This window comes from Homo sapiens, chromosome 2 (genome assembly GCF_000001405.40).
Source record: "Homo sapiens chromosome 2, GRCh38.p14 Primary Assembly".
NCBI classification, from domain to species: Eukaryota; Metazoa; Chordata; class Mammalia; order Primates; family Hominidae; genus Homo; species Homo sapiens.
This window is the reverse complement of record NC_000002.12, coordinates 21,344,700-21,367,073: the sequence shown is the minus strand read 5'-3', so window position 1 is coordinate 21,367,073 and position 22,374 is coordinate 21,344,700. Positions and strand designations below refer to the sequence as shown.

Genomic DNA, 22,374 nt, shown 5'->3' with positions numbered 1-22,374 from the left:
GAAGTTCTCACTCTCTCCCAGGACCTAATAGGCCCACTCACCTCTCTCACAACCACACTTTTTCTAGGAAGGAGGCATTCTGGCTGTGCGGGTTCAGTATGTAAACAATTTAGCCCAAAACTTGATTCTCTATTTGGTACCCAATGATCCCTTTTGTTTATATAAGAGAAATGCATAGCTGGGCATGGTGGCTCTTGCCTGTAATCCCAGCACTTTGGGAGACCGAGGCAGGTGGATCACTTGAGGTCAGGAGTTTGAGACCAGCCTGGCCAACAGGGCAAAACCCCATCTCTACAAAAAATACAAAAATTAGCTGGACGTGGTGGCGTTCACTTGTAGTCCCAGCTACTCGGGAGGCTGAAGCAAAAGAATCTCTTGAACCCGGGACGCGGAGTTTGCGGTGAGCCGAGATCATGCCACTGCACTCCAGCGTGGACGACAGAGGGAGACTCCATCTCAGGAAAAAAAAAAAAAGAAGAAAGAAAGAGGGAAGGAAGGAAGGAAGGAAGGAAGGAAGGAAGGAAGGAAGGAAGGAAGGAAGGAAGGAAGGAAAAAGAAAGAAAGAAAGAAAGAAAAGAAAGAAAGAAAGAAAGAAAGAAAGAAAGAAAGAAAGAAAGAAAGAAAGAAAGAAAGAAAGAAAAAGAAAGGCAGGCAGATGCATGATCCTCAGCCCTAGGGTTAGGCCCTGACTCCTACATAAAATGCAATATGTCATCCTCAATATGAATGAATACATGCACATGTAATACAGGTAGAGGCATACCATTAAAACAAAAAGTACTTTAGGAGTCTCCACCTACCCGATGGTCCTCCCCATGAATTTCATAGTCTTGTTTAAGACAGAGGATTTGAATAGCTGTACATCTACTGATCTGCTTCTCTCTTATTTATGTCTTTAGTTAATTCAGTGGTTCTCATCCAGTACACAGGAATACTAAAGATTGTACATTTAAAACTTTGCATATTTTAATTTATGGGTAGCAGAAAGGTTTTAATGTGAAGTTTTAATGATATATGATTTTCACCTTACTTGTTGACTTTTGAACTTGACCACCACACAAAATGTGACTTCACAGTATTTTTGTTCATTAAATCAAGAAAGTAAATAATTTCCAATGAATAACTGTAAGATAGACACTTTGGTCCTATAACCTGGGGATGAGGAGAAGCAGAGTGGAAGCAATAGTGTGCAGCATTCTGATAAACCTCCCTAGACACAAAAAGGAAATTGCATCTCTAATCTCAGTATCTGATTAAATATGAAAGAGAGACGGGGTGGTGAGGAAACGTCACATAATCTTGGATAACTCTTGAAAGGAGGGCTTCAAAGCTCCACATCATAGGACTTTTAATTGAGATTCCATATTTCTCTTATGAATATGAACTTGTACATTACTCAAGGAAATTACATTTGGTTATAAACATTGAAAAGACGAGTTTTTTATTTTTTAATATCTGTGTTATTCAGATGGTAATGAAAATCAGAAATTTCAAGCTGGCAAATAACAGCTAAGAAGAGTACAGTGGGGAGCCTAGAAGTCAATGTGTTTACCCAGTTATCTGGTCAAATCTCACTAAAGGCAACTCCAAGAGACCACCACCTGCTTCCTATTTTTTCCTTCTGTTTCTAGCAGATATTAAACTTAGATTTCCTTTCATTTTTATTATCAATTCTTCTTTTGTTATGGGTTGTTTAAATGTGATTTAACTCACATACGCAGTTATTCTACTTGTTTTTGATGATTGGTTTCCAATTTGATTTTATTCATTCATCACATCAACAAATGTTTATTCAGTACCTACTATGTACCTGATGCTCTTCTAGGCATTGGAGATACAGCCAGGAGCAAAAATCTCAATGACATTCTATTACATTAAATCACATGAAACTGCCACACTTATAGGTCAATAATAGTCAAGAATCAATATTCTGACATGGGCCAACCTAATGTTGGGGAAACAAAAAACATAAATAGAATTGGTAAGGATTTCTGTAGTGTTTTAGAACCTCTTCTTAGGTTATAGGCTTTTACACAATGGGCTCTTATTAGACCCACCACACAAGGTGAACTCTTTGTATTGACTTCTTATCCCAACCTTAAAATCTGAAGCTCATCCCAGGAAGCAGTAGGTGGCCTCAGTGAAAAAGTTACATTCTGTAATTTTCTCACCCTCTTACTTCTGCTTTCATGCTTTTTGGGCCATATGAATGTAACTTTCTTATTGGCTCAATGATGGACTTTTAAAGCATTTATCATTCTTCTTTCAAGAGTTTTGTGGGTTTTTTTAATAGGAGGTTTGAGAGAAGACTAGTTTAATAATATCTGAAATAAAGTAAGCTGGCGGTGCATATCGAGAACATTTTTATTATCCTATTACTCTCAGTATAAGATATGCTGAGAGAAGACCACATGCCTGATAAACTAGACGCTTGTTCAGTTTTGATGGTTCTGGCTTTTGGTGGGGTGTTCCTTCTAACAGAATTTTGGAATTAAGTTCTCCTGAGAAATTTCAGGACCTTCTGTAGCCCACTGATGAAAGAACTTCTATGAGAGTTACAATACGCCCATATATTTCTAAAGGAAGCTATGTCTGGTATAAAAGGCAAAAGAGAAAACTGGCTTCCCAGAGATAACAGATATTTAGAGGCTCTTGCAGCACTGACAGAGAGTGCAAAAAAATCCCTGAAGCTAGAGGGAGGAGGCTTCTCCATTTACCAGTTTCGTAATCTTTGATACATTCTTAACCTACCCAAGCCACAGTTTCTTGCGTATAAAATAAAGACAAGTTCCTCCATTCCACAGATTGTTAAATGAGAGAACATACGTTCAAGTGCTTTGAACACTAAATATAGTTTCTGCTAAATATATAGAAAGGCAATTTTCAAAATGGGAAAATAAAATTTCAAGCAAAAACAAGAGTGCAGTGGAGCGGGCAAGGGAAGGCAAGGGAAAAGGGACAGTGGTCGCAGAGCGCACTGTGTTGCTGCTGCCCCTGTGCCAGCCCCTTGAGTCTCAGTGAGGCCAGTGATGCTCCAGAATATGAGGCAAGCCAATTTGGGAGCAGATTGGACCCAGCTTCATTCAACATTACTACCAGTTATTTGATTACAATACAACCCAAGTAGGTGCAATTTACATTGACATGTCACGCCTTACATGGGAAGGACAGCTGTTCCAGGAGAAAACTAGCCTTCCCTTCTGTTCCAGAAAATCCAGCACAGCATCATGGTGCAAGGTCATCAGCCTGGTAGAGTAGGCAGATAGCTAGAAATGAGCAGGAAGGAAGAGCCCCTGAGAAAAGGGAGGTCTGGAAAATCTCACACCCCAGGGACCATCCAAAACATGCATGCTAGATATGAGCAGAGAGGAGGAGAAATACCTCTGCAGAAAGGAACACCCCTTAAGATGCCCAGTAATCACTCACTCTGCAGTTAACTGGTCAGAATGTAGCTAGCTACATGCTGATAAGGCAAAAAGAAGGCAACAGAAAAATTCCTAAGAGATATGCAGGCAGAATACATAAGATTTGAATGCTATACAACCTTCCTGGGGTGGCAGTAATGAGCAACGCAGCCATTCAGTAGAATTCCTATCCAAAACTGGGCCCATGCATGTGCACCAACTAATAGTAACGATAAAGGAGATAGAAAGAAATTATTTAGGCAGATAGTGAGGGGGAAAGAGTCCTCGGCAGAACTTCCCTTCTAACAGAAAAGCAGCCCTAGACATTACTTCTTTTCTAGCAAAGAGCAGCCTGAAAGATGGAGCTGCAAACATAGATAAGGAAGCTAGAAGCTTGCACAAGGGGAGGCCTGCAGCTACATCAACAGGGCTACCTGGGGGCCAGGCATGTCCACCATAGGGGTCCGCCTTCCCTTTTTTGTTAGCATGTGTACAATAAGAAAGAACTAGGCAACATGGAGATGCTCAGACAGAGAACCCACCTGCATAATAAAAGATTGGGGTGGGGGGTGTCGAGATTCACACCCTATGCAGATGGCCCTCTTGTTTTTTGCACCCTATGTAGATCAGACACTGCCTCCCCACTAGCTCACGTATAAAAACCCCTGCATTTCACTGTGGATGAACAACTCATTTTCCCAGGACCCCTCTCTATAGCAGAGCTCTCCTCTTTCTTATGCCTATTAAATTTCTGCTCTTAACCTCATTCTTTTTGTGTCTGCATCCTTGATCTCCATGGCCATGAGACAAAGAACCTCAGGTGTTACCCTAGACGATGAGGCTGCTTCAGTAAGGAAAGGTCCCACAAGCCTGGGGTGGGAACTAGATGGGAAAACGGGGGACTTAAGGCAGAAGCAGGAAAATTAAACAAAGAAAAAAGGCGGAGACTTACAACAGAGGTGGGAACTTCAAGAAAAAATCTGGTACCATAAAAATTGAGTGCAGAACTCTCAGAGACTACTGGCTCATTCTCTTTCAGCAGCCCACTCTGCCTCGTCTTTCAGAGTATCCTGTCTCTCTGAATAAACTCTCTGCTCTCTATTTTCCTTCAATAAATTATCTTTCTTTTGGAGGTGGGAGTGCTAAATTTTCTCTTGGCAGAATTTTTTCTTCCAAGTAAGACTAAGAAACAAGGATTCCTGCACTTCCCAGTAACAGGCCTATACCAGATAGCTGCATCCTCAGCATGGTTGTAGGCCAACTTAAGGCAGATGAAGACTCCATCATAGGGTTCCACCAGATGTTCCTATTAAAGAACATCAAGAAGGTGTGGGTTCGCACCAATGACATGTTCAGGCTTGCCCTGCGCAACAAGGGCTGGCCTCCTCCCAGCCAGGCACTCGTGCTGTTTCCTCCTGCTGCCTCTTCCCAGTACTATTCACACTCCTCTAGTTGCTCCAAATATCATACACAAATGAGCAGGGCAGTTGTGGGAGTGGGTACGGTGCACTGCTGCCACCGACATGTTCATGATGTTTGGTTGCTAGACAACTTGCATAGGACTGGAGAAATTTGTGTTGTACTAGCACATGCCTTAGAAAGGCTTAAGTAATGCAAAGGTTTGTCCTTTTTTTAAAAAAAAAAAAATCTACTGACAAGTTGCTCTAATTACTCAAGGAAGTGAAGGAGAAAGCAGCTGCCTCACCACCCAGACATTGATTTTTTTCAGATATTTCAATGTCTCATGATACAATAAAACCATAAGGTTTTTTAATAAGAATTAAAAAAAAAAAGAAAAACACACTCTGATCTTTTTAAAGATAGAGTCCCCAGATGGCTAGACAGAGAATTTCTAGGCAATTGGAGAAGGAAGGATCAGTGAACTTGAGCATGAATTCACAAAGAACAGCACAGAACCTGTATTTATACACTGCTGGTATTTTAGGGTTTGCGTTTTTCCATGGCAAAGTGGGAAAAGGCCAAATGAAGAGAATACGCTGGTTTGCAAACAAAACAGCTTGAGTTCACATCCTTCTTCCACCACCTCCTCAGAGTGCGAGTCTGGGCAAGTGAAACCACTTGGCAGAACCTCTGTCCCTCATCTGCTAACAGGTAATAAAAATGCACATAGATTCAACACACACAATCCATAAAGTGTCTGAATATAAAAGGGCTCTATAGATGTAAATTCATTCTCCATCCTACATAGTATCACATATAGTCTTCATATCAACTCTGTGAGTTGGATTTTTGTTGAAGAAACTGACCTGCCCAAGGAAACATTTAGGCATAAGTGGCAAAACCATGGTACAAACCTAGCTCATTCTTATGTTGACTACATGTATTTATTTCTACTATACTACTATGGCCCTCACTGTAATAGATCAAGGCTGTGTAACTGGTATAAGGGTGGTGGTTTTAAATAGAGTGACCAGATGTCACCTTCCTGGAGAAAATGGAGATAGGCTGCATGAAAGTGTTATCCAGGTATTTAGATGATTCATCACCTGGCCCTGGAGTAGATTAATGACCTGAAGTCATCTTGCAAGTGATGTATTTTTCTCATCCTTTGGGTAAAAAAGTTTCTTACCAATGCATCATAGATTATTGCAATATCCACTCATGAGGTTCAAACACTATGATATCAGCAATGTAATGAACTAGGATGATCTGCCTGAGAACTAGATTATAACAAATGGCTAGAGAGTTGATGTTGCCTGAGGTAGTACAGTAAAGGTATATTGTTGGTCTTACCAGATGAAAGCCAAACAACTACTAAAGGTCTGTACTAAGATGCATAAAGAAAAGGGCAGGTCAACAGCTGCACACCAGGTGCCAGGGAATGTGCTGATTTGCTTCAGCAACGAAATCACATCTGGAATAGCAGCTGCAATTGGAGTCACTATCAGATTGTGTTTGTGATAATTCACTGTCATTCTCCAAGATCCATCTGTCTTCTACACCAGCCAAATAGACAAGTTGAATAAAGATGTGGTAGGTAGGCCAGGTACAGTGGCTCACGCCTGTAATCCCAGCAGTTTGGGAGGCCAAGGCAGGTGGATCACGAGGTCAGGAGATCGAGACCATCCTGGCTAACACAGTGAAACCCCGTCTCTACTAAAAGTACAAAAAATTAGCTGGGCGTGGTGGCGGGCACCTGTAGTCCCAGCTACTTGGGAGGCTGAGGCAGGAGAATGGCGTGAACCCGGGAGGCGGAGCTTGCAGTGAGCCAAGTTTGCGCCACTGCACTCCAGAGCCTGGGTGACAGAGGGAGACTCCGTCTCAAAAAAAAAAAAAAAAAAAAAAAAAAAAGATGTGGTAGAACTCACATCTTACTTCCTTCAGGTCTTTGGTAGTGGCACCAATCTCTGAAATTTCTCCAGGCATGCATTGTGCTTTAAATCAGCAAGCAGTATATGGTGCCGTTTCTTCCTTAGCCGTTTCATTCCTTATCCTGAGATAAGGGTTTTGAAAGTGGGAGTGATTTCTCCTATTGTCATTCCTAGTATTCCACAAGAGAAAGTTTTGATTTACCCCCAACTTTGGCCCTCTCCATTCCAAAGAGAGGACTGCTTCCACCAATAGGTACAACAATGTTTACTTAAACTATAAGCTGACAGATACTGGCACTTTGGGTTCCTCCTGGCACTAATTCAACAGTGAAGATGGAGGCCACTGTACTAATTAGGATAACTGATGCTTTTAAGAGGATATAGAGTTTCTACTACTACATACTAGAGACAAGGAGGCATTTACATGCAATTCAGGAGAATCCCTGGAGCATCTCCTAGTACTCCAGGACCTACAATCAAAGTCAATAGAAACTTTCAACAATCCACTATAGGCAGTACTATTAATATCCCAAACCCCTTTTGGAATGAAGTTTTGAATCAGCCTATCTGATAAGGAACCACAAGCAGCTGAGGTACTTTGTAGAGGCAAAGGAAATATGGAATGAGTAGGGGAAGAAGGTAGTAATAAATAGCAGCTAAAACCATGTAGTCAGTTGCAGAAACAAGGATGATAATAGTTATTCATACTTTTTTCTTATTTTAAGATGAATATGATTTGGTACATAACAACCAAATGTTTTCTCTTTTCCTCTTCTATTCATTCCCCTACCAAGTAACATAAGCTATGGTTAACTTTATATCTCAGAATCTAAGTTATAAAATATCAAAAAGGAATGTGACTCAACAAGAAGAAGAATAGACATCACCCAAAGATGAATAAAAGGAATTTGTATCCACTTTTTGGGAAAAGGATTATGTGTTTTTAGTTGTATAAGAGATAGTTGCATTATATTAGGCTGAAGCACAGTTTTTCCATTATCTTCATTTGGAGGGTAAGTATGTTTAAAAGAGGTATATATCAACTTAGCTAAACTGAAACTATGTTTCCCAGATTCCCTTCCCTGCATAGTTTCCGTTACTATAGCAAAAGGAGACAGATTGCACAAGATTTGAAAGGCAGAATGAAACAGCAGACATATTCATGTGCTTAGAAGGTCAGTGCAGGGCAGCTGTTGCAGGTCATGCACATCATTGCTGACCTGCTGGCTCACCTGGCTGGTATGGGGCAGGGGCCAGGCCCATAGCACCTCCAACTCCCACTGCATCTCTCCCTTCAGGACCAAGGGCATATTTCTCTATGTGATAAAGGAGCCAGCTTTTACTACAGATCGCCTGCATCATCAAAACTGGAGCCATGGAAGTAATGAGAGACTGATGTGTATTCTAATCTGTTCTGTGGGTTCTGGGACATCCTCACCAGTCCTAGCTTGCCCTTGTATTCCTCCAGTTCATATCCATCTTTTCTTCCTGACTGATCACCCTACTGCTTTAGGCTCTAACAATATACACTGAACTAACAGTGTTTCATATGTAACCAGCTCCCACAATCGCATACATCCAAATTCCTACAATAAATCACCTATTACGTAGAACTCTTAGTGTTTCCTCTCTGATCTGCCCTAACTACAGAGTACACAATTTAGATCGCAAAGCTGGAGCTCACACCCACCTTATCTCTAATACTGATTCCAGGTGCCTTCCACTAAACAAATGCTGCCTCCACCATAATCATTCGGGGCCACATTACCGGAGGGTATTGGTGGTTTAAAATGAGGTGTTGGCCATCATTCTCTCTCTTTAGGAAATGGAGACATAGAAGCTGTATGAAGAGCTACAAAATGGTAAGATGATTAAATGTCTGGTTCAAGAGAACAGATTAACAATCTGAAGTCAGCCTTCAGGGGAGGTCTCTGGGAGCAGGTCCTATCCTAGGGACTTCCTTCAACTGGACCATTCAGCACTTTCAGTTGCAAATTGCTTAATAAAGACAGAAGGTGTGTTGATCGAATTTTCAGATGACAGAAGGGTGGGCCAGCTAGCAAAAATGCTGAGTGATAGAATCAAGAATTCAAAAGATTTGACAGTATGAATAATGAGTCACAGCTAACAAGATGAAATTTAAGAAGAACAGATAGCAGTTTTTACCCTACTCAGCCCTAGCCTGGATAGTGGTGGTGCTAACAGCCCTCACTACACTGGAAGATGGTGCTGGGATATCACTTGAGCTCAGCGTAGGCAGAAGCACAAGATGCTAATGAGAGGTTTGCTTTAAGCAAACCCTCCGGAGTTCAAAAACCATCTCCACAAATACAGACTTAGAAAGACTAGGCTTAATAGCAGTCTTTGTGAAAAAGACATTGAGCTCAATATCAATCAATGCTGTGACGATGAAAGTATTCATTAGTACTTGGGCCTCATTATTCAAAGTATGCTGTTTCAATACAGGTTGAAGATAATTTTACTACTTGGCCCTGCTCAAAATCACATAGCTGAGGTTTCAGATACAATGCTGAAGGCCACATTTTAGTGACAAAGTAGGATTTGACTAATGTGGTGAGGATATATAATTAAGTCATATGAAGAACATATTAAAGAGAGTGATCATAAGAGTTGGTTTTAAATAATTTGAAGTTTTCATATAGAAAAAATAGAATTTTATTCATATTTCTAGATGACAGGTGAACAGAAACAATAGAAAGGAGCACTTCTGCTCACTATAAAGAGGCATATAACATACTGGTTATGTCTGGGCTCTGGAGCCAAACCACTTACGTGAGAGTTCACAATCCACTCCCCAGCCCTGTTGCAAGTCACTCAGTTTCTCTGGCCTCAGCTTTCTCATTCATAAAATGAGAAAGAAGAGAATAGCCCCTCATATATTTGTTGTGGGGATTGAGTGAAAACAAATAGTATTTACCTCAAATAGCTGTTGTGAGGATTAAATGAGGCAACATATACTTGTTGAGCTTTGAGAAGAGGTCACATGGTCCAAGGTCAATAAATATTCACTAGATTTATTATTATAAAAATGTGCATTGTGATGTTTATAGGTATCCCCAAATAGAACACCCTGCAATTGAGCAAACTACGTCCTTGCCTGCATGTGTTTAAACTAAGACACGCTGTTCATTGATCAGGGATATTGTAGAATGGTGTTTCTCACACTTTTATGTGTGTGTGAATCACCTTTGCATCTTATTAAAATGTGAGATCTGAATCAGCAGGTCTAGGGTGGGGGCTGGTATTCTGCATTCCTAGAATGCTCCCAGATAACGCTGAGGCTGTCCAGGTACCACACTCTGAGTAACCAGGTTGCAGAGGAATTTTTGCACTAGGTGTGAAAAACAGCCTTAAGGTCCCTTCCATTCTAGAACATTCAGATTTTGTGATGTTATACATCTGTGAATGGTAATTGTGTTGAAGCCACATTGTAACTGAGTTATCTAGAGCAAATGACCTAACCTCTTACCTTGCTTTGATAGATTCTGCAAAGCATTTTTGAAGAAATGAGTCCTTTTAACAGCTCAATCCAAAGTCCTCAGATGGAAGCAGAACTACTTCAACAGAGGGTTTCATTTCCTAATTGGCTAAACATCTGTTCCAGTTCTGAGCACAGATTTATCTTTATCAAATACTGATTGGTCTCTGGCTCCTGCCGGCTGCTGTGTCCTGGTGTGTCGGGGAACAAAGCAGGGCAGCTGTGGGAAGTCAGGAAGCCTCAGGAGGAAGGCCACGAAGGGCTGAGAGGCAGAAAAGAGAAAGGCATATGTTTCTGGCAAGCACAGGCAATAGAAAACCTTACTGGCTTAATAGCTGGATAGAACCAGATCCGGGACTAAGAAGAATCTTAAAGATCACCTGATCCATTGTCCTTCATTTTCAGATAGTGAAACAAAGGTTTTGTGGGAGGTGATGATCTTCCGGAGGTAACACGTGCAGATGATGTCAGAACTGGAAACCAGGCCAGCTAGGTCCTGGTCCAGTGCCCAACCCCAGCCATGCCTGCCTCACACCTCCTCCTGAGGACCCCCACCCCGGGAATGCCTCTCAGCCTTTCCGTGGCAGGTTTTCTTCATGCTTCAGTTGCCCCCAGGGTAAGGAGGGTTGAGGAAGATTCTGAGGTGACAGAGAGCAATAAACTATTGTTCACTCAGGTTAATTTCTCAGGTCGAAGCTGCTCCAAAAGATCTAAAAAGTATTTCCACATCATTCACCTTGCTCTCTGTCTTTGCTTTACAAATACGTCAAACAGCAAATGGGACCCAAACACCTATGGTCTTGACACCCTCTCACGAGCCAAGGGCCAGAGTTAAGCCCTGGTTCTCAATACTTCTCCCCTGTAGTCTCCTGGGTTCTCTCCTACATCCTTGCCCTTTTCTATTTGTGCACGGTCCTCATCTCAATAAGAATCAGAATTAAAAGGTGTTCTGACATTAAAAGGCATCCCCACTTTACTTTCTGTGAGGATTGGGTCACAAAAGAGCAATGGGGTAACTTAGAAGCTTTGGAGGAGAGAGGGGAAGATTTCCAGAATTATTTCAGATCCAGAAATTCCCATTTCCCCCAAATTCTATGTCTTCCTGCTGGTTGAGAGCTTGGACACTTTTGGAAGAGAATCAAAAGTCATGAATCCACACTAACATGAAATGAATAGCATCAAGACCTGTCCTGAGAGGCTGGCCTCTAGGTGACCTCCACTTAACTGCTAAGCCTTTTCTACCTGGGAAGGTTGTCTGTTTGAGTTTTTTACAATGTGCTGAGAACTTATGAATGAAGTTTTCCACTCCTGGCTTCCTATATTCCATATAGCAGTTCAGGAATGAAATCTTATCTCTGCATATGACCTAATGTTCTCCGGCACCATGTGGCTCTACTTCTCACTTTACAAATTTGCTGAAGAAAGAATCAACAGTAGTAGCCATCCATCATTTAAACAAAAGAAGATGCATTACTTTTTGCCATAAAGTTGTAGCAACAGATATTCAACAAAAGAAGAGTCCCTAACTAGTGGTATTATTGAGAGTCTTCTAGGATCATGCATTTATTAGCCACTATGACTCAGCTCTGATGGTCCAGCCTCCAGAGTACAGCCAAAATTAAGAATTCAGAGGCTGCTACTCAAAGATGAGGTGGCGTATGATTCTCTGTATTGAGTTGTTTGGGTAATTTTTCAGTTTCCATAGAGCTGAAGGGCTGCCACCCATTTATTAATGTAGCCATGGCTGTGATACACAAGGGTGGGCAGGGAAGCCAACTGCAGGCAGCAGGAACAGTTTGAGCAAGCTATTGGCATTGTCACATTGATTATCACCTATAAGGCACTGGAAAAGCAGAAGGGGCTGAGGGGAACAACACATTGCTCTTCTCTATCTTTTGCTGAGACATCTCTCCAACATCAGTTTATATTGAAAACTGGTTCCATGTTTAGACCAATGCACTAGAATACATGGCAGAGTAAACATTTTGCCATACAAGTTGACATGGCAAATGAGTTAAGCATTGGAAACAGATCACATGGACCCTTCAAACATAACCTAGCAAATCCTGCTGCCAGCCTGCAGTCCTGTGCTTGTTATCCCTTCTTCAGCTTCAGCATCACAATGGCAGGCAATAACAGAGCCAATGTCAGAACACAGCACCCCACAGAGAGGAGAGCTTCCCAGAGGTTGAGTAAAAGAAGGATGTACGTCAATGTCTTGGGTATGACCAGCTGGGGCTGGTGTCATGGGTGGTAAAGGAATTTACCAAGACGAGTGTAGGTAAAGAAAGGCAGCTTTATTAGAGAAAGTATGAAAATATGTTACAAGATTGCAATGGGCAGCACAGCAGAGAAGAGTCTCCAAAGAGGCAGGGGCTGGAGGGAAGTTTTATAGGGTCATGCTTGCTGGGGGGATGACCAGAACATACAGAACAAGGCCATGCAGCTGGGGCTACTTGTGGACTTAGGTCTTGTGCCTGTGGGTTGTTTGTGATTAGCTGTTTCTTACAATAACTTCATTGTTCTCCCCCACCTGGGGCCCTCCCCCACCTGGGCCCCTTCCTCATTGTTGCTTACTTATCAGGACTCCACAGTCAAGACTACAGCTGTCCTCAGCAGTTAGAAATTCTCTTCAGAGTATTTTTCATGGAGGCCTTGGTACTTTTCCACTGCCTCAGAACAGGCCAAGTCTTAGGGGATGACCACAGAGAGGGAAGATTGTGTAGAAAGATCAATGAGAAATGACCACTCTGGTTTTGCTCGTGGCTGCAAAGTTAGAACTAAGAGCCCTCTTATCCATATTTGCATGCAATTTTCTGAGCTTGCTTTAATGGATATGACATTTCATTAATTCTGATTCATTGTGTACTCAAGCCAAAATACATGCAGTTTAGCTCCATTTACTGACAGAAAATAGATGCTGAAAAATCCTAAGTCAGAGTAATAACTGAAGGTGTGTAATTACTCATTACCCAATCAGCTACAAGGTTCAGGGGGCAAGAATGGTTTGGAGATAAATTGCAACTTTTGTGAGTGAATCTGACAGTCTGGGTTACTAGGTGTGTTTCTTGTGATTAATGACACAAGGAAGAAAGGTTTAGAAAAAGTGTTTCCACTGATTCTGCTACTTCTAGGCTGACCCTTAAAATGTTTTTACCAGTTACCAAGGAAAATATAAATTACAGTAGCAAAGTGTGAATTTTATAAAAAAACATTAAAAAATATTACATCCATAACTTCCTACTCCAATTAAAAAGAAACTCAAAATGATAAGTTTTAGGATGATGCCAGAATGGGTCATTCAGCTACAGATCTCAACTTTCTCAGAAAATGTACTTACTAAAGAAAAAACCAACACAGTTGGAGCTATTTATCATGGTCAATTAATGTAAAAGTTTAAATATAGCACAGTTGCTGCATGGGTTCTGACACTGTTCAACATTTCTACAACTTTTATTATATATTAGTATATTAATAAAATAATAAATTATTCTAATTTAATTTTCTAATTATTCTAACTTTCAGATTTCTAGGGGTCAAGTGGGCACTTGGCAGATAACTCATGAAATGGGTCCCAGAGAACCTTTCCCAGGTTCCTCTCCTCCATTCACATTGTGATTGGGAATGCTGTGTTAAGATAACCACACACACACACACACACACACACACAAACCCCAAAACACTAAGAAGCAGAACCTGACAGTATTCTGTGCACTGACAAATGGAAGAGCCTGATGGGGCTGAGATGTAGGGAGAAGTCTAATTCACTAGGGATTGTTGAGGAAGGTTTCACACAGAAGGCAAGGCTTGCATGGGTCCTTGAGGATGAGCTGGGATAGGTTCCAGAGAGACAACAACTTGAACAGTACGGTGGCAGAAATAACCCTGATTTAGGGGAGAGGAAGTATTTCAGTAAGTTGATGGTAAGATAATTCTTATTCATAAAGATCAGATGAAGCCCCATTGGGGTCAGAGGAGGATGGAGTGAGGTTCTGAATGTGAAGACTGTGAATTGAATGCAGAACCACATGAATTTGACTGGAGATATTGACACTCTACATGATTCTTCAGAAACATTGGTCTCAAGCCCCCTCCTTGAAGGATTGGAGTGGCGGGATGATAGAGTCAGGAATATCTGTTCTATGTTCATGGTAGTGGGGCAATGATTAGAAACTCAACAAGAGGAGTGGTAAAGGCAAAAGAGAGGTGTGAACCAGAAGACACGAAAAGGGATCCAGGGACTGGATAAACAGGTACATGAGGTGAAGACGGGAGATGTTACAGCTGGCTCTGAGACCTTTAACCTGACCAGGAAGTCAAGAAGAAGAACCAGCTTTAAAGTAAGAAATACTTTTTTTTTTTTTTTTTTTGCAGTGAGATGTGCTATAGAGATTGGCAAGTGTGGGACAGCTGTGCAAGTAGGCATCTGGATCAGGAAGCTGTGAATGTGGGACTGAAGCAGAAGTGAGCACCCAGAGGTAGGTCTGGGCACAGACAGCGACTAGCTCGGTGTGGTTACATTGAGCCCAGCACCACATACACTTCCCTCAATACCACTGCTGAAGCCTCCTATGTGCATTCTTCATGGGCGGGAACTCCTTTCCCAACCCGTTCTTACTATGCAGCCCTCATTCTGAACAAACACAGGACGGGCAGCCAGAAAAGATGTCAGCATCTATTTGTGGAGGACAAGTAGAGCCATGTGTGGAGAGAAATGGTCCTGTTAATATTCTGTTGAGAAGGTCCAGCAGATGGTCCGATGGGGCAGATGTGGTTTTAGGAGTCACTATAGTTGATTTGTGATTAATGTAAGCATCGAATTTGAGAGTCATAGGACCCTTTGAGAGCATTCAATCGGGTGTTTTAAAACAGTTTTAGTCATGGAAATCATTTTAAAAATGAAAATTAATATGGAAATGTAAACAGCTAAGCTGTTCCTGTTGGGGGCTGGGGATGGGAGTTTGCAGAACCCAGGAGACACCTCCATGAAGTACTGTTTGTTCTGGTGCAGCTGTCCTATCTTAGAAAAGGGGCTACTGAAGCCAGATTGGGGAGCCCAGAAAACACAGCCCTACTGGGACTGTGACACAGAGCTACAGGCCCCCGGGCTAGGACTACCACACTGCTCCAGAAAAAGAGGGAGGGGCCCCAACCCTACTCTGTATTACATCACCCCAGGATATATACAATAGAATATTGTTGAAAGTCCCCTTAAAAAGTCAATAAAAACACACTGCATATCTTTACCAACCACAAAAAAAATTTTAAAGGGCAGAGTTTATCCTCAGAGATGGGACAGAGGCCAGGAGGAGGGAGTGTCAGGTCAGGGCAGGTACTCTAGGGTTCAACCTCTCCTCCAGTGCCAAATCATAGGGTGAAGCCAACATCCACAGAATCTGCAAGGTGCCCCAGGGCAGAAGCGACACGTCTCCGGTTCCCTTAGCTCCACCAGGTTGTTTTCAGCATTCAGCTTCCAAGTAATCTTTGTGCATTTTGTAGCAGATCCCTCCCTGCAGTATCCCTGCTTGAAATTTCACCCCCAACAAAGTGTCCTGCAGAGCCTAGCACTGCACAGCTCTGGCTTCAGGGAGAGGTTGCCTGGGGCCTTCTCCCATTTTGAGAAGAAAGCAAGAGTCTAATTTGCTGTGAACTGTCATGAGCAATAAAACGTTCATTAACTTTAATTGTAAACACTTTAAGTCCCAATCATTGCAATGAAAGGATAAATTGAAAAATCAAGAGTTAAGTACCCTTTTAAAATTTCATATCTTCTATCTTCACCTGGCCTTTTAAACCAGACAAAGTCAAATTAAACAATGCATAGAGTGCCTCCCCACAACTCCATCTGAAAAAAACCTCACCCACCCGACTTTCAAGGTCCAACTCAGATAGATGCTCTCTCATTTGGAAGGAATCTGCCCATTCGTGGTACCCAAAAGCACTTTCTGGTACTCCTAATAATGGAACTTATTTTTGTCTTGTATTGTGTTTTATTTGTCCCAATTAGACTGAGTTACCTGTCAACAGATACCACACATCTTTCTCATCACCATCATTTCAGCTCCAGCAGTAGTGTCTCCTGTGCATATAGTGCTCCAAAATAATTGCAGATGGATCAAATGAATGGTTTATTTTTTGTTAGAAAATGTATTATGAAATACTCAAAAATGCATGAATTTGTTTAGCCTATATCTGAAACTGGATTACACATCATTCTGAAGAATTCTAGTAGCACATACATCATTTTGCTTTGCAGTCTCATACCTAACACTATCCAGTTATATATTTGCTACCTTGATATTTACATACTGCAGTGGAGTACCTAAGTTAAGATACCCAATTTTACACATTAATTTAAATTCTTCCTTGTTTATGCCTATGAAAATTCTTTAGTTCTGTATAACTAGGCTTCAAGAAAAGGCATGGTCAATGACTTCTGAGGAAAGAATATTTGAGACAAATACTTAAAATCTATGTGTTTTGATTCAAAAGCAGGTATCCAAGTCATCAAAAATGTCCATTCACTTTTCTATGGAAAAAATTAAGTGGTTATGTGCCCTGATTTGGGGAACTTAACCTGTTAGCCAAATCAAATGGCACAAGTCACATAATTTCTGCTTTATTCTTTTTTTTTTTTTTTTTTTTTTTTTTTTTTTGAGACGGAGTCTCGCTCTGTCGCCCAGGCTGGAGTGCCGTGGCGCGATCTCGGCTCACTGCAAGCTCCGCCTCCCGGGTTCACGCCATTCTCCTGCCTCAGCCTCCCGAGTAGCTGGGACTACAGGCGCCCGCTACCACGCCCGGCTAATTTTTTGTATTTTTAGTAGAGACGGGGTTTCACCGTGTTAGCCAGGATGGTCTCGATCTCCTGACCTCGTGATCCGCCCGCCTCGGCCTCCCAAAGTGCTGGGATTACAGGCTTCTGCTTTATTCTTACTGTGATTAGAATAGCAATTGAAATGGCCCCTCCATAGATTACAAGGTCTTCATTTGTGCAAATGATGACTGACTCTTTCTGCCCTCAAACTACTAAGATTAATTATGTACAATGCCTTGACTGAATGATCTCTCACAAACCAGCCTACTTTTGTGCTGGTATATCTAGTCCTACAGCAGAGTCAGTGAATGTTATCAGAATAAGAACTCTGCTGCTTAGAAAAAAAAGAAGGCAAAATGGCTTTGTGATGTATCTACTTGGGTAGGCTGAACTACACTTCCCAGAGTTCCCTTTATTGTACATGTCTGGATAGAATAGGCACAAGGGAGATTCTCAGGAAATTTTGGACAGAGGGTAGAGGGAAAACAGCAGCCGTTTTGTAGCATACACACATGGTTACTGACATGCTGATGTGCCTCAGTGATGTGAAGCAGCATCAGGCCCAGATATATCTGTTTTAAGTCTATTACAAAGGTCCCCAGCTTGTACAAGTTACCTCCTCACAAAAGGCAGAGGCAACAAGAACAGACACAGATTTCAGTGCATCATTGTGGGGATCTAGCTTATGTTTGTAGAGTTTCACCTGTGCTCGTGGTATTCCGGCCTGCTTGTGATCTTCCTTTCCTGACTGTCTGCCTTGGACTTCAAGATCCAGCATGAGAGGTGGAGACAGTCTAACAAGGACTATTTAACCAGCCCCCACAATTAAAAAAGCCAATTCTTTATAATAAATCCGTACATTGATAATTGATGAATGATAGATAAATAGATAGAAAGATAGATGATAAATCGATTGGTCTCCTGGTTCTGCTGGCTCTGCTTTTCTGGTTGAACCTCGAATGATACAAAAGCTTTCTTCAGAATTCCATGTCATGATGACCGCATGGAGCTATATTTGCATATACATCATACTGGCTGGCTATCTTTTTATATAACTTATAAATAAAAATGTGTAATTGGATAAAGAAAAAAACTATTTAAATTCTATCTTTCTGATGGATATTTAAATTCTATTTTCTTAATGTATTTGGGAAACAGATCTAGATTCAAACCCTGGCTCTGCAGTTGTTTTAATCTGTGTAAACTTGGAATCAATGCCGCTTAATTTCCAACACGCAGTGTTCTTATCAGTACAATGGGGGATAACAATTTTCCTGCCTTATAGAGCTAATATGAAGATTAAGTGCCACAGTGTATGTTAAATTCTGAGTGCACTGCCAAGCATAGAAGGCACTCCCACGACCTTCCTTCCTCATCTTTTAAATCCTACCTATTGTTCCATTTCTTACCTAAAACCTTTCCCAACAAACTCAACCTGCAACGGCCTCCACCTCCTATTCTATGGTGCCACCAATGTTAACATCTTTATGTTCTATATTCTGTGTACCTCATCAGTCTGATGTTATGTTTTCAGATTAGGGAGCAAGTGTTATACTTCCATATCAATAAAAAGAATTGCAGTTGGTTAGTACTTTACCGCTCATCGTGTACTGTGACATATATTGCCAACTTGGACCCCCACAGTGAGAACAGTTAACACTTGTGGATATGATAAAGTGGCTGCAGTCTGTAATCAAGGTATATTTTCAAAAGCATTAATCTTATTTTATTGCTTGTAGTCAGGAGCAATTTGAATGGCTATGAACAAGGGAAAGGTACTAACAGATGGGCTGGTTATTAAATAAATGCCGATAACTCAGCCAATAACTAACTTGACCCACAGAAGTTACTCATCCAGATTTTGGAAAGAAGTAAATAATAAAAGGGTGGAGTAAATTAATATCCTTGGTTTAAGGGTATTGCTGAATTGACCAGCAGTATCCTTGTGACCTGCACCTATTGTAGGAAAATTCTGAGAAGCTGCAGAGTGGAATGTTGTCTTCCTCCTAGCATCAATATAGGGTCCTCCAGCTGACCCAGTATCTGTTACCTTCTTCCAAGGCAGAGATACCCACTTTTGTGGGGAGTAAGTCTCCTTTAAAATGTCAAGAAATTATTTTTCTCTAAATTTTAATATGTATTGATTTATACATTCTACTTAAAAGATTCTATGAATTGTGCAATTCTTTTAAGATAATCTGTATTTTATAAATCACGAATTTATCGACAAATGTATGCATTTCAAAGATTAGTACATAAATGTGCAAGATTTTTTTTCTGCCTGATGCTGCTTCCCATCACTGAGGCACATCAGCAGATCAGTAACAATGTGTGTATGCTACAAAACCAGAAAAAAATAATATGTGCCAGAAGAGTATATGGATTTGCGCCCCTTGCGAAAGGCTCCATGTCCTTCTGGGGTCCCCAGCACCCTCATTGGAAACCAGTACTCCAAGGCAAATTACCCTGACCTGAGGTGCCTAAGACTAAATGAGTGGAAATACACTTTTTAAGCCACTTAGCAGTGTTCACATCTAAGGCCACTGAAAATGGATTAACCTTGGATTTGAAAGAATTGTTTGCCAAGGATCAAGGACTGGTTTTTAAGACTGAAACATGGAGTAGGGATAGATGGGCAATTCTCTCTGTACACAGGTGTAAAGAGTAACATAGCCAAAAGATTGTACTAAGCACAAATCCCATTTAACATCCCATGAATGGTAATGAAAAGAAATTCAGTGAGAGCCTCGTGTCTCAATTGACTATAAGTCTTTTGCTTTTAAAACCAAATTGATAGAAAGTAGAAAACATTTGGAGGCTTCAGGATTAGACAAAGAGTGGAAAGATAAATTCAGTGTGAAAAGTATTGCATCATGCAACTGGAGAAATTCTTCAATTTTTAAAGAGTGATGAACTCTGAAACATCAGCTGTGTCTTAAAACAAGAATTACGGAACTTCCATAGAACATTTCCTAAATCCTTTACCTTTACAGACAGCTCTAGGGAAAATAGTTAATAAAATATTGGGCTTTGTCATTAAAAGGACCTGGAATCAAAACAGGAAATAGACTCCTGCCCAATCTGAACAGTCTGAGGCACTCACACCTAGATCCTGTTGATGTCTGCATTACCACATTCAAAAACTAAAAATTCTAGAATTAATCATATCAGAGAAAGGAGCCTAAAAGTTTCAGTCAGTCTGAGAAATCCACGTATGAATACATCAGCTCTTCTAACCCTTTCCCTCACTAGCATAACACATTGCCATGGCTTCAATATCATATCAGCATTAATACGTGTAAAATAAAGATCCATTTATTACATAGTGGCTACAGTCTTTGATGAAATGATTTGCATTTGTATATTCCTACAAGATTAGTTTTTATCCCCCTGAGAAGACTAGACCTCTCACCAGATCTCAAATAAGGAAGGTAGGTCTCAATTCTCTCTCAGAGAAAAAACTGCACTGGAAAGATTATTTTTAATTTTCCTGAGTCTTAACTTTCTTTTTGACAAACACTTTTCATCACAGGCCATTATTTGCACAGGAAGTACATTGTCTGTCATGGCAGACAGAGAACTAGGCCTATTCAGATATGGAAAACAATATGCATTCAAATTCCTATTGAATATAATCAAGAGGGCTTGTTTCATATTATAGAGTGATGATTCTGAACCAACTCTAAGATCTCTGGAGCATCTTCTCAGGCCTTCTCAAGACATGTGTGGTCTTGAGAGGGCTCATTAGATTACCTTACTTGACCTCTCAACTTTTTCAGTGAGTGCTCCACCATGTCTTAGTATCACATCTTTTTAATGGCCTCTGTTCTCCGACTGGCCCAAGAAACTCCCTGGGAATATGATATTGTGAGCTAGAGCTAGTGACCATTTTGACTGCTCAACTCTCACTATATGGCAAAAAAAAAAAAAAAAAAAAAAAATGCATTAGCTAACAAAGAAGGTGAAAGCTGATGGATTCCAGGCCCATTCTGTGTATCTAGAACTATGTCAGGTATTAGAAAGTCTAGAGAAGAAGTGGGGTGAAGGGAGGTAAACACACGACAATTACATACAAACTTCTTCTCTCTATGCTGTGGATATAAACGGAGTTCTTCTAACTAAAAAAGTCCTCTTCTCAAATTTCTGGAGATCCTCAGAGTTGTCTAGGACTCTAAAACTTTTCTCATCTAGTTCTCTAAATGTTTTCCAGCATCAACTTGAACTCCAACTTCAGGGCCAGATCCTATCAGCATAAGACTTGCTATGTATGGCATGCTCAGAGAAAGGTGACTGTCAGGCAGAAGCAGAGCTCAGGGAGGCCTGGTAGTGACAGCTCAAGAGGGTGACTGCAAACTGCTTGATGAATCTTGCTGAGATCTGTCTTTGCTTTTGGACCGGACTTTCATTTAAAAAATGGCTGGGTAACACATTCAACACAGAGATGAGCACACAAATTGCCCTATCAAATGGTTTTGGGATAATGAAGTCTTGCAGGATAAAAGAGGCCAATGAAGTATAGCCAGAAACAGCAGAAGAGGCAAGGGGTGCAGGCTTCCCTGTTTTGCCTTGGTAGTGGTGAAAAGCAATAGGAATGTGGATTATTCAGTCTTACCCAGCAACAGATGGAACACTCAAATCGAGTAATTGAAGGAAGGATTAACGAAAGATTCTCTGTAAGAGAGCAGGCAGAATGTAGAGAAGATGCAAAGGACATTGCAGTAGCCTGGGACTGAGAGTGAGTCTTCCCACATCCAGGCCTGAAGTGTCCAGGGGAGAGGACAGGTATAGGAACCTGGAGAAAGAGAAGCAGTGTGGAAGAGCTAACAGGAGCTGTGACCTTCCTGCCTAAGACCAACGAACCTCAGGTGACCCTACAAGGCAGAAAGGAAATAATGCCCATAGCATGCACTCTCCTTCCTCCTCCTGCAGAATTCCTTCCAGGGTCCTCACTGGCTGAACCCAACCCAAAGCCAGAGAAAGAAGGAATGGGAATGAGGGGGTGAAGGGGGGCAGGATGGAGTCAGTCCATACAAGCTGGCCTCCAGGAGCACACAGCATGGATATGGAGGAGGGCTGCCAAAAAATGCAACTTGAGGATCAAATGGAAGCTATCCAGCCTGGAGATCAGGGAAGGACCATTTGTAAAAAATCCTCAGATAATCCTAATAGTGATAACCTGAGACTTATGCTAAAGTATTATACATGTATTCACTCATTTAATCCATTTTTTTTAGGCTCAGCTGGTGGAGTTGCCACCTTCTCTGTAGCTGACTGATTCCTTCCCTGAGGTTGCTCAGAGCCCTCAAAGCATGGGACCACATATTT

General features: G+C 41.3%; 1 long non-coding RNA gene and 1 pseudogene across 1 annotated transcript in view; one reads left to right on the top strand and one right to left on the bottom strand.

The window, feature by feature from the left end:
- Positions 2,968-5,190, top strand: NUTF2P8 (nuclear transport factor 2 pseudogene 8; annotated as a pseudogene).
- Positions 9,584-22,374, bottom strand: part of LOC105374318 (uncharacterized) — a 43,370-nt gene continuing 30,579 nt past the window's right edge. Inside the window, exon 3 of the long non-coding RNA XR_939801.3 lies at positions 9,584-10,497. This is a non-coding gene — a long non-coding RNA (uncharacterized LOC105374318). The remainder of the gene's footprint in view (positions 10,498-22,374) is intronic.